The sequence below is a fragment of the Homo sapiens genome, chromosome 12 (genome assembly GCF_000001405.40).
Source record: "Homo sapiens chromosome 12, GRCh38.p14 Primary Assembly".
In the NCBI taxonomy this organism is placed as follows: domain Eukaryota; kingdom Metazoa; phylum Chordata; class Mammalia; order Primates; family Hominidae; genus Homo; species Homo sapiens.
Window position 1 is genome coordinate 65,357,432 of NC_000012.12, and position 12,930 is coordinate 65,370,361.

Consider the following 12,930-nt stretch of genomic DNA (forward strand, 5'->3'; position numbering starts at 1 on the left):
GAGAGTTCACATATACCCTCTCACCCAGTTTCTCCTATTAACATCTTACATTAGTGTGGAATATTTGTTATAATTATAAATGAATATTGGTACGTAATTATTAACTAAAGCCCATTTTTTTCATACTTTCTTAGTTTTTACCTAATGTCCTTTTTCTGTTCCAGGATTCTATCCAGGATACCACACATTTAGTCCTTCTGTCTCCTTAGTCTTCTCTTGGCTGTGACAGTTTCTCAGACTTTTCTTATTTTTGATGACCTTGGCAGGTTTGAGGAGTCATGATCAGGCATTTTGCAGGATGCTCCTCTGCCGGAATTTGTCTGGTATTTTTCTCATAACTAGATTGGGGTTATGGTTTTTTTGGAGGAAGATCACAGAGGTTAAGTACCATTTTCATCACATCATATTAAAGGTATATGCGAACAACACGTCATCACTTTTGATATTGACCTTGACCACATGGCTGAGGTAGTGTTTGTTAGGTTTCTTCACTGTAAACATACTTTTTTCCCCTCCTTTTCCTAGTGTATTCTTAGGAAGAAAGTCACTACACACAGCCTACACTTAAAAAAGAGTAGGGATTTATGTTCCCCATCCTTGAAGGCAGAGTATCTCTACATAAATTATTTGGAATTCCTCTACAAGCGAGAGAAGTCTCTTTTTCTCTTTTATTTTTATTTATTATCATTATTTTTCATTTTTTAGAGGCAGGGTATTACTCTGTCACTCAGACTAGAGTACAATGGCATGATCATAGCTCACTGCAGCCTCAAACTCATGGGCTATAGTGATCCTTCCACCTCAACCCCCCGAGTACCTGGAACTACAAGTGTGCAGCACCATGCCCAGCTAATTTTTTATTTTTTTTTATAGAGAAGGGGGTCTCGCTATGTTGCCCAGGCTGGTCTTGAACTCCTGGGCTCAAGTCTTTTCTTTATTTAATCAATCACTTATTTATATCAGTATAGACTCATGGATATTAATTTTATACTTTGAATTATAATCAATACTACTTTATTTATTTTTGTTGCTCATATTGTTCCAGGTTTGGCCATTGAGAGCTTTTTCAGTTGGCTCCTTTGTCCCTTTGATGTATTCCCATCAATGTGGGGTGTATTTTTTTTGTTGTGTTTTTGAGTGCCTCTTACTTTTTGGCACTTCTTGATGATCCAGGTTTATCTTGTATATTTCCTGCCCTAGTCCTAGAATCAGCCATTTCTTCAAGGAGTCCTGGTTTTCTTTATTAGAGAGTAGTGTTGGAAACCAAAATCTGAATGGTAGGTGGCCTCTCTGCTTTGACTTTTTCCCCTGTAGTTCATTCTCCACATAACAGGGTGAAGATTTAAGTACATTTAAATTATATTGCAACCTGTGATGGGTTATCCTTATATCTTTCAAAATCACAACTCCTTACAATGGTGTTTAAAGTTGTGGTCTACCCTTACCTGCTTCTATGATTTTATCTCTTAGCATTCTCTGTCTCATTCATTCCTTCCTGGATGCATTGGCCTCCCGTCACCCTGCCTTTTTTCTTTCTTCTTCCCCCTCCCCTCTTCCTAATTTTAACCCCCAAATTATTAACTAATGATTTTTAATGTAGTATTGTCTAAATAGTATTACCTTCCTTACTAAAAGGAATAATGTAATGATCAATTTTATAACTTATAGTTACCATTATATATAATAAGTTATATAACAATGGTGCGTTTAGGCCCTAATGAGCTACATAGGACTCTCTTTGCCTTCTAAATAATTCTAGAGAGTTCTGTAAAGTGAAAAGCATGCTCCTCCTTTATCTTCTCATCCACATTTATGTCCTCAGAGGCTATTGAAGTGTCCAAAGTGCTAGTCAACTCTGTATTGCTCTTGTCTGAGATTTTTACAGCTTTAAACTTTTAGAGTCTGTCAGTAATTGTGTCTAGAACTAGCCCGCTAGCCATAACTTCTATTATTCTATTCCTGATTACAACCTAAGGCAGAAATGAAAATTTCCAGGGAATATAAGAAAATAAATATTATGTATAAAACTGGTAGAGTAAATTTTACTAACCCCTAATCTGCTTCATCCCCCAGAGAACACATGGCAAGTGTGTACACAACACCAATCTTGAAAGACAAGACCAAGAAACAAATGCATAAGCAAATAAATGCATTGGAAATTGTCACAAAGTGATATGAAGAGACAAAGATCCCATTGATTAGAATCTTCTGGTATGCTACTGGTGGTCTCCAGTAATTTGCAGAAGCAGCTGCCCAATGGCCAAAATTCAGGTTAAGCACTTTGGCAGAATATGTTTGAAAATAGTGATGAGGAGTAGGGAAGTAAAACACATTTTGTAAAATGAGTTAAAGTGTGGAAGAACTGTATACGTTTTGTTTGATTTGGCTAACTTCTAGGTTTTTGGCTTTTATTGGAGGTTTGGGGTTGCTAAGTGGCTGACTGTAGAAGAAGTGAAATGTATGAGTTTGCCAGGACTGCCATAACAAAGTATCACACACTGGGAGACTTGACAGAATTTTATTGTCTCACAGTTTTGGAGGGTTGAAGTCCAAGATCAAGATGTCACCAGGTCTGATGTCTTCTGAGGTCTCTCGTTGGCTTGTAGATGGTTATCTTCTCCCTGTGTCTTCCCCTGGCCTTGTCTCTGTGTGTGTCTGTCTTAATTTCCTCTTTTTATAAGGTCACTAGTCACATTGGATTAGGGTCCCCCTGGATGACATTTTAACTTGATTAACTCTTTAAAAATGTTTTTTCCAAATACAGTCACATTCTGAGATATTAGGGGTTAAAATATCAACATACGAATTTTGGGGGAACATAATTCATCCAATAACATGAAGGTATACTCTGTTCTCTTTAGTGTTATTTTCTTAGCATTGTGAATTTATTCTCAGTAGATAAAAGGCCTTGACTTTAAAAAGCCTCATTCTCTGTGGAGATATAAATATACACAAGAAACAATTACATTATTTTAGAGGAAACATAAATCACATAGACAGGAATTCAGAGAAGGTGAATATCAACAAGGCCTAGGGAAGAATTGTAGAAGCTGGGAGCCAAAAATGGCCTTACAAATTATTTATTTTTTCAGCATTCTCTATCTGTAGGTTTGAGTTCTACAGATGCACCTTTTCGTCCCCTCACACTTACTTTTTCCTCTGTTCCCTTCTCTCTGTTTTCCTCTTTCTTTATTCCTGGGAATGCAGGGAAAAAAAGTAGGTAATTTACCTTTTTAATGGGATAGCTTGTGTGGGGCAACATTGCCTCACTTCAGTAACTTAATTTCACTAATGAGAAGAATGGGGTTCACAAGTTAAATGATTTGTCCAGGTTTCTGACCTAGAATCCAGGTCTTCTGATTCTTACTGCACTATGCACTCAAGTGCATTGTGCCACTATTTTAGTGGGAGAATGTTTTATTTGTGTTTTAAGAACAAATAAGATTGCTTTTCCATATTGCATAATTAGGTCATTTGTGTTATTTTCCATTAGCCTTCCCTCTTAAACATTTCCAATTTCTTCAGCTATTTTTATTACTATTCTCTTATTTTTTTCCTACATAATTTTGGCATCCATATTAAAGTTTCGCCTCACATAAGATCTTAACCAAAGTAATAATTCTTTCTTTTATAATATAGTGCTATTTTTTTTTAAACTTAGCTTTACTAGTACTTGTACCACAAGTATGATATTACTAATTGTACTTGTGGCCATAGGTAAACTTCACTTAGCATCATTGTTTCGATGAAAGCTACCTTTTACTCAACTTCTAATATGTGTCAGGACCACCTAGGTACTTTATGGTATCGTCTCATTTAATCCACACAAACGTTTTTAAAGGTGAATATGTTACCTGTTTTATAGATGGTAAGACTCAAAATGGTCATTGACTTCTCTAAAGTTGCATAGGGTGGAAAGTGGGAGAGCTGGGACTTAGCTTGTTCTGTTTGTCTCTGTTGGCTCCTTTCCCACAACTGTTACGTGAATATGGACAAGAAATAGACCTATTTGCTTACGATGTGTACCTCTGATGCCTACACAGAGCCTGCTTCCTCAGAGGTCAATTTGTGGAAAAATGAATGTGGCCCACAGCTTCTAAATATATTTTTATATACCTTTTGCTCTTTTAGTTTCTTTGAGTCATTTTTATGTCTCAATTTGTTCTCCCAGATATTAATGTTTTGTAATGAATTTAGACTTCTTCTTGGAACATGATTTATTCCTTCTTGATATTGGCAAATCTTAAGACTTTGGCGTGATTTAATTTAGTGATATATCTTAACCAAACAACCATAAATCTCATTTTCACATTAAAGTTAAAAGACGTATAATACTATATTTTGTTAAACCACATGATTTGTCATAATAGTTGTAATTGTATCATGTTTTCAAAGTGGCTTGACTGAATTCTTGCTGTTCTTTTGCTCATGATTATCCTGATTTCTAAATTTCTGGGTTTTAAAATTCTATTTTTTTCAGTTTTTTAAAAAATTAACCGTAAAATTAATGGGCACCTTTTATTTAAATCATTATTATCGAAATGTAACATAGAGGCCTAAGTTTTAAACACAGTGAATAGCTAACTCATAACCTACTGCTGCTTAGTTAATATGTTGGGTTAAAAGGATAGAAATACCCAAGTAAAAGTGGACTGGCAATGCCAGACCCTACTATCTAATTCAGTGAGGACTCTAGAGAAAGGCAGGTTTGGAATAGAAATGATATCAGAGTTGTGGGCTGGGATTTCTGTGATTCTCTTGGTGTCCCTCTCAGGGCTGCAAGATTGCTATAGCAGTTCTAAGTGGCATATCCTTATGTGGTATTTTCAAAGGCAGGAAAGAGGGAAAGATAGAAAAAGGGCCTTCTCCCTAAATCATCTCTCTCATTTTCATGCAGAAAAATCCTTTCTGAGAAGCATCACCAGCAGACTTTACCTTTCCTCTCACTGCTCAGGACTGGATTAAGTGCTTCTCCTTGTACCAGTCACTGACAACAAATAGGGTTGCCATGATTGGCTTAGTCCAATCGTGATTCATCCCTGGGGAGTGCACATTTTTTAGCACTCTTCAAAATGGGAATTCTGTTTTTAAGACAGGCTATTAGGTAGGCAATTAATAGTGTCTGCCACTATTACTGAACTCCTTTAGTATGATCAAATAGCTATTATGCACAAATGTACAATTACAACTCTGATGAGTGCAAAGGAATGACTGGTGCTATGAAATGAAAGGGATTTAATCGAGCCTGCCCACTCTTCTTCAAATAATTGATAATTAGGCTAAGATGTGGAGAAAGTTTCAGAAGTTAGGTAGGCAAAGGGGTTAAGGTATAGTAGAGTGGGGGAGGGAGGAGGAAGCATTCCACGCAGAGGAAGCATATTGTGTTCATGTAAATTGAAAGGGCACATAAATATTCACTGCTGTTCTCACTAGTCACTGGTCGGTGAAGGCCTTTGAGTTACTTCTAGGGGTAGAAGAAATTGGTAGACCTTGTAGGTCTACAAGTAGGATGCTGAAATACTGGAATTTCTGAAAAATTTCCATGTGTTGAAGGGACAACAGAGCAGATTATTTGACTTGGATTGTTTTACAAAATTCTTGCTGTAGAGTTGCCATATATAATGCGCTTACAGACAAAAATCAGGCTGTCACCCCTGCTCCTTCTAACAGTTGCCTGCAGCTAGAATCTTTAGTTGATATCAGTTAAAAACATTAAGAACAGCACCCTCACTTCTCTGACACCTTCTGCAATGCTAATTTCTGTACTTGATACTTACATGATTCCCATTTTAAAATTTTTGATACAGTTGAACATTAAATGAAAAACAATGTTCTCTGAGATTTTGTGGGTTTCCCCAGAGAGACAATAAAATAAAATATCTTTTGGCTTCAATACACATAGAATTTTTGTGGACACTGGGCTATTCTCTGCAAGGATAAAATGGTAGTTTTATAAATTTGTCCAGGAGTATACAGCTGTAACCAATGACTAAAAGTGACCTCTTTTGAAAATTTGCAACTCTATTATCAAAAGAATGCATATATTACATAATTTAATTATTTAAAAAGCATTCATGATACTCGAATTCTCCTAGTGTCTACCCTTTCTGGCTTACAATTCATGAAAATTTCATTTTCATGTTTAAAAATTTGGAAGTTTTTATTTAAATCTTGTAAAATGTGGCAATATTGCTATGGTGGATAGGATACAGGCTCAACTGTTCTGACAAGACTCCAAAATAATAGTGGCTTAAAAAAAAATAACAGCTTGGGGCCGGGCGTGGTGGCTCACACCTGTAATCCTAGCACTTTGGGAGGATGAGACAGGCGGATCACTTGAGGTCAGGAGTTCAAGACCAGCCTGGCCAACATGGTGAAACCCCGTCTCTACTAAAAATAGAAAAATTAGCTGGGTGTGATGGCACATGTCTGTAATCCCAGCTACTTGGGAGGCTGAGGCAGGAGAATTGCTTGAACCCGGGAGGTGGAGGTTGCATTGAGCTCATAACATGTTCCTGGGCAACAGAGTGAGATTCTGTCTTAAAAACACACAAACAAACAAACACAAAAAACAAAATAACAGTTGGAGATTCATATGGCAGTTGCATAGGTGCCTTCTATCTTATTGATTTACTATTCTAATATCAGTTTTTCCCTCATGATCTAGGAATGGCTACTTCAGCTCCTGGAATTACATTCACATTCCAGCCAGTGGCAAGAAACAGAAAGAAGGGAAGGGTACATTCCTTCCCTATAAGGGAATAACTCAGATGTTATCACCTCACTTTTGCTTGTATCCTTTTGGCAAGAACTTAGTCATATGGGTACAACTAGCAACAAGGCAGTTGGGAAATAATGTGGAAATATGTCTGTGTGCCCACTTAAAACTCAGAGATTTTCTAAAATTAAAAGGGGGAGGATGAATATTGGAAGGCAGTAACATTCTGTGCTATAATCACCATCTTTTGGCAGTTGCCAAAAGAAACGGTTGAATAGTTTTGAACTTAGATGTGAGTATATAATTTGGGGTAAAATGGGTGTCTGTGGAGACACAATTATATTTATGCATGTTATACCCTATTTTATGCAATTTTGTATCCCTACCATCTAGCATAGTATACTACTAAAAATAAACACGTAAAAATATGTTTGGAATGAATGACCATCCTTCTTTTCTTTTCTTGTGCAATCCTTATTAGATATGTATCTTTCTTTTTACATTTGCCGTATATTCATCCTTATCCATATTTCACTTCCCTTCTCAAAGGGGATTTAAGAGTCGAGGTGATCATAGTTCATAGTATGTTAGAGGAGTACTTTGTATCTCTGTGTGTTTAAGTCTGTATGTAAAATCTAATAGGAATCTGAATTAACTTAAAACAACAAAGGACCAGTTTTCCCTATCCCCAAATTGACAGTTTTAACTTCTATTATCATGTTTTAATTATCAATAGAGTAGCTGTATTCTTTTGAGTGTTCAGTACTGTATCTGAGAATTCTGCAGATTTTTTTAAATTGATACCCAAGGCCATTAATTGGTTTGTGAAGATGTTTTCTCTGCACCTTACGTGTATATTTTATGTATTGATCAGCTATCCCTGGAGAAGATAAGATAATCTGAGGAATAAAAGTGTTCTGACATGATTTTTTTTTTTGTATCTCAGAATTAGGTATTCTATAGACATTTTGATCATTTATCTTGTTTTTGGCCTTCTGTTAATATACAGATTCATTTGTTCGTGTGTTAATTTATACTACACCTTTTTAATAATTCTTAAGTCTCAGGTGCTGCATTCAGTGTTGGGAGCATGAGGATGCATGAGACCCAGTGTGCACCTCACTCAGCTTCGTGTCAATGCCACACCATGTGGGGAGTGTTGTGCCAGGCCCCCACTGTGGGGTAACTGAGGGGGAAGAAAGGAGCTTGTGAGGCAATGGGGGCAGGCGGGATGCTGACATGATTCACGTGAGCCTTGATTGTTGAGAAATAATATGGCAATAGTTCCATTTGATGGGAGTGATACATGCAAAGTGTGAGTTAGAGATGGATTGGAGAGCTGGATCATGGAGGACCCTTTATACGCCATGCAGAGGAGTGGGCACTTAATGTCGCCAGGTCAGTGGCTTTCAAACCTTTTTGTCCACAACCCATAGTAATGCATATGTTTTTACATGGTGACTTATTACTAGGCCTGGACCTAACATTTGCAGGGCCTGGGCAAGAGGACAAATGGTAGCATAGATACATACTGTATAGCTAAATAGTTAAAACTCAAGGCAAAAAACTGTTAGAAAAGGATATACCAACCTATCTTGACACATACACCTTATAATGAAAAATGATACCAAATGACTGAGAGTAATGCAAATTTAAAATTAATTTTGTCTTCCACCAAAAGACTATGAATTTACCCTGAGGAAATGCCAGGACAGTGGTAACTGGGCCAAGCTGGGGGAGAGGAGGGAAAGGCTCACTCAGCCTTCTCTTCCAATGGCCATGGAATCTGTAGATAAATACCTCCTTTCTCTTGCTCTTTTTTGGGGGAGGGGTGCTTTCATTTCTGCCAGAGGCTCTGGGCCCCCACCCATTGCTCCTTCTATACCCAACAGCCAGGCATCGAGTTCCAAAGTGATCTAGTCCATGACAATCCAGTCCAAGGGCAACCTCTGGCCCCCAGGTGCTCTCAGCCACTCACCCTCACAGGAGGGTTTGCATTAAGAGTTCTCTGAGCAGGAATGTGAAGAAGTATTGAGACAGGGGGCCCCTGCTTTCTATGCCACACCTTTTTCCCATCTTTTAGGGCCAAGGGGTCCCTCCAGCCCTCAGGTCCAGGCTCTTTCATTCAGCTGACAACTTTTGGCCACTCCTTGGACTGGAGGTACACACATGCTAGTAGTACTACCTGACCTGAAGAAGGGGCCCATGTAGGTCAGAGTAGCAACTTAAGGCCATTTGGGTAGAGAATGATGGTGATGCTGGTAGTCAGAGATTCAGGTGGAAAAGAGAACTTCCTGGCTGGTGGAAAACAGCACAGGCAGAGGAAGGCCAGAGCAAAAGCTTCTTGCTCATCATTGGTGGATCTAAAGGGAAGGAGAACATTGGTTATGAGGTTATTCAGCCAAGGAAAGGCCTAAAGATGGTGAAAGTGAAGATAGAGAGGAGGGGAGGGATGTAGAATCCGCAGATCTTGATGACTAATTAGATATTGGGGGTGCAGAAGAAATCTAGAATAATGCCATCATTTTTGATGAGTGCCATTTAAGGCCACAGTGTGACATTCAGGTAGTATTTTGTTTATTATTTGGAAATATGGGTCAAGATATGGTCAAAGAAGTGTTTTCATTTGGATAGTTTGTTAAGATGGGAATTTCTAGGCCCCACTTACTGAATCAGAATCACCAGGAGAAGTCCTGGGAGTCTGCAGGTGAGCAAACTCCTGCGGTGATTTTGAGACACATGGGTACCCTAGAGAGTGGGAACAGTGTTTCAGGTGGCCTGAGGGCTGAACTCTGGTGCTCACCAATACTTAAGGGACAGGAGGAGGAGGGGAAGTGACAGACAGACACTGGAAAGAAGTGGGCAGTATGTCCAATGAAAGAGAGAGGTTTAGTAAAGTATGGACAGTGACACGGCTTGTGCATTTAACATTGGGAAGCTTCTGATAAACCTTAGCAAAGGCAGATTGCACTGATTCAAGGACCGAATATGTTGGGAGATTAGGAAAGGGAGATAGATGATATAGGATATAGTCTATACATCTTTTTTACATTATAATTTGATTGTAAAGCCAGATGAAAGAGGGATAACAAAGCAAGGCACAGATTTGAAGGAGGCCTTTAAAAACAATTCTGGAGCACTTATATGATGAAGGGAAGAGGAACCTGTGGAGAACCAGATACTGAATATATGGCAGAGAAAAGGAGTAATTGATATAGCCTTGTTTCAAAGGAGATGAGAGATGCATTTTAGGACCCAGGAGGAGGGAAGCTTAAGCAGAAGGAAGAACACCTCTGGCTTCTATACAGTTAAGAAGGAGAAAGGGCATGCATAGATGCAAAAAATTCTCTTAACAGACATTTGAACACAAACTCTAGTCACAATTTAGGTGTTGTGGCTACAGAGGTTAATAAGGCATGGCTATAGTTGAGTGGGGGAGATAGATAAGGAAACCAGCAAGATAACATGTGGCAAGTGTTGTTAGAGTTGTGCTAAGAGATGGTGGAAACACAGGGGAGGGCATGAGACAAGGCTTTGCAGAATTGGAGAGAGGGCAAAATGTGAAAATGGGTTTGTACCTGAAATAGAAGGCAGGGACATGGAAGACAAAGGTTGAGATGAGGACTATGGTAGGGCCAGGACTTAGGGAAAATGTGCACCAGGATTACGGCAGTGGTGATTGGTAACCATGGATGCAATTTTACGTGTACATGTATATGTGTGTATTACATATTACACATATATGTGTATATATTTTACATATACATATACACACACACACATACACACAATCATACAATTATAAGCATCAGCTGAAACTTTGTTTGGGAGGACTTCAGAAAATGAATGTTTATGACCAAGGAAGCTTCTTGCTTATCCTTCCCTTTCCTCCTTTGATGACTTTTCTTGAGGCTAATTTAGGTACAGAAAGCCACCGCTTCCAAAAGTGCTTTGGAACCCTGGCATAATTTCAAAGAAATCTCCTTTCCCACTTAGTTAACTACATTTCTCCAGGAAAAAAAAGTCTTGTCTGTCAATGTAACATCCTTTTAACAGGACTCCCGCTGGTTGGTTCTTGTATCTTGCTGTGGCAGCTGTGAACATATATACTATTGATTGTTGATGTGTGATATAAATCCGACTGGAGCATGCCCACTAATTGGTTTGAGAGCTAGATATAGACAATGCTGTTTTATAGTAGCTTGTGTAGATAGGCCTAGTCATAGGGTTAATTCTGCTTGACAGCACATCAGCAGCATCTTGAGAGTAATTACCTAACAGAAGTTTTCCCACAGCCGAACTGAGAGCTTCAAAGGCTTCTGAATTTACAACCAGTATTAACCAATATCTGAAACATAATGTTCCCACAAGAGCTCAGAATTTTTTCTCCTTCTTATTAAATGTATGGGGTTACTAGGTTCATTTGCTGTGTGCTAAGAACTTAGTGAAAAGTTACTTCGTGTTGAATAATTTCAAACCTTGAATAATAAAGAGAATAATTATGAATTTGGTTTTGTATTGCTTTATTATCTTACTGAAACAAGTTAATCTGTAAAGATCAGGTGCCTTTTAAAAAACCGTATTGTATCCTGTTTCACCCAAAAACAAATTTAAAAAGTTAATGTCTTTTCCATATTGTGCTATCTGTATTGATATTTGCATATTTAGAGGGCCTAGGGTAATGCATGCATATAAAATGATTACAATACATATATATTAACATTTTAGAAATATACACTGAAAAATGTAACTATTACCTCCCCTCCCAACCACACCCCCCCCCCCCATGAAATAATTGTTCTTTTACAAACAGTTTTTATATTGTAAAAACTTTCTTTCTCTTTGCAGGTCAGAAACCAAATTTGACTCCGGTTCAGGTATGTTTACATTAATAATGCTCTTCTGAATATATTTTATTTACATTATTCTCTGAGGAGTAAATCATCAGATCAAGAACCATTTTGATTTTAAACAGACTAGGCGGTTTCTTTCCAAAATGTGAGTCCCACCTCAAAGCAGGGCTATTGACTGCATCAAATCATAATTTGAGGTGTTCACTTTGGAGTCTTCATAGCTCTGCAATAAGCATTACATGACCTATATCTGCAGAGTTTCATTTTAAAAGCAGAAGTGGGGGTTATACATACTAATTGCTCAAAGTAGATTATTATTTTCTCAGTGGACAAAGCATCCTGAGTGATTTGAAAATTCTCTTTAGGTTGTCACCAAATGTGGGAGATGGATGCATTTAATTCAGCAAACTATAGAGAGTTCAAGCCAATAGAAATAGAAATTTGTCTATGGTTTATTAGCTTGTTTTCTCTTAAAAAAGTTTTATTGCTAGATGGGTGATAGAAAATGAAGGTCACCTTAAGCCATTATTTTGAATCTATTAAGACAAAATTTACATTCTCACAAGCAGTGGCATATCAGCCTCTTTAGACATTTTCTTTTCATTAAGCATGAAATGTAGCTATATAATTCTCAGGTTTGACTATGTCATTATGTCACTTGCTGAGATTTATGTGCTTCAAAGTTTCTGATGGCATTTACAATTAAAGCACAAAAATTGCCTCATATTTCATACAAAGGAATTACGTATGCCCTTTGGTAGACTGTTAACAGATAAATAAACATTAATTTTTGAATTCCAGGAGAAAATAATTTACAGAAAAATATATAACTTGTTGAATTTACAAGTAACATTTTTACTCTGGTTCAAGTTTCACTATATGGTAACTTTAAAAATGTTTTTACTTATTATATTCACAAAGGAACAAGTGCTATATATTCCTTTTGATAGTAGTGTTAAGGAGACAACACACTTTTTCTTCTTTATAAGCCTTTTCTTTCTTTTATTGTATGGTTTTGTGAATTTGGTGAGACTCATTAACTATGAAGTCTATACATTTGAGTTAACAAATTTACCTAGTTTGGTAACTCCAGAAATCTTTGGATCCTGTGTCTTCTGCAGCCTCTGAATCAGATGTATGAATGGTAGTATAAGATAAACATTTTTGGTTGAAAACGCTGACTATATAGAGACTAAAGGTGGGATGGCATTGTGTCAACTGTTTGACTCCTTGATTCACAAATGGCTCAAAATAAGACGAAAAATCTTTTTCATTTTTTAAGTTAAAATCTTTAAGTATAATTTAAAAATAAATGAATAAAGTTGATGGAGAGTGTAATTTTACCTAAAAATTACATGT

The 12,930-nt window shown here is 37.3% G+C and overlaps 1 protein-coding gene and 1 long non-coding RNA gene across 9 annotated transcripts in view; both read left to right on the plus strand.

Moving 5' to 3' along the window:
- The window catches only part of MSRB3 (methionine sulfoxide reductase B3), a 188,225-nt gene that overhangs the window by 78,749 nt on the left and 96,546 nt on the right, over positions 1–12,930 (plus strand). For all 8 annotated transcript variants that reach the window (NM_001193460.2, NM_001031679.3, NM_198080.4 and 5 more), the window contains one exon: positions 11,567–11,595. In NM_001193460.2, the coding sequence (NP_001180389.1) occupies positions 11,567–11,595 (29 nt within the window). The remainder of the gene's footprint in view (positions 1–11,566; positions 11,596–12,930) is intronic.
- Positions 906–7,159, plus strand: LOC124902954 (uncharacterized). The gene is made up of 2 exons (XR_007063350.1): positions 906–2,271; positions 6,668–7,159. It is a non-coding gene; the product is annotated as an uncharacterized LOC124902954 (long non-coding RNA).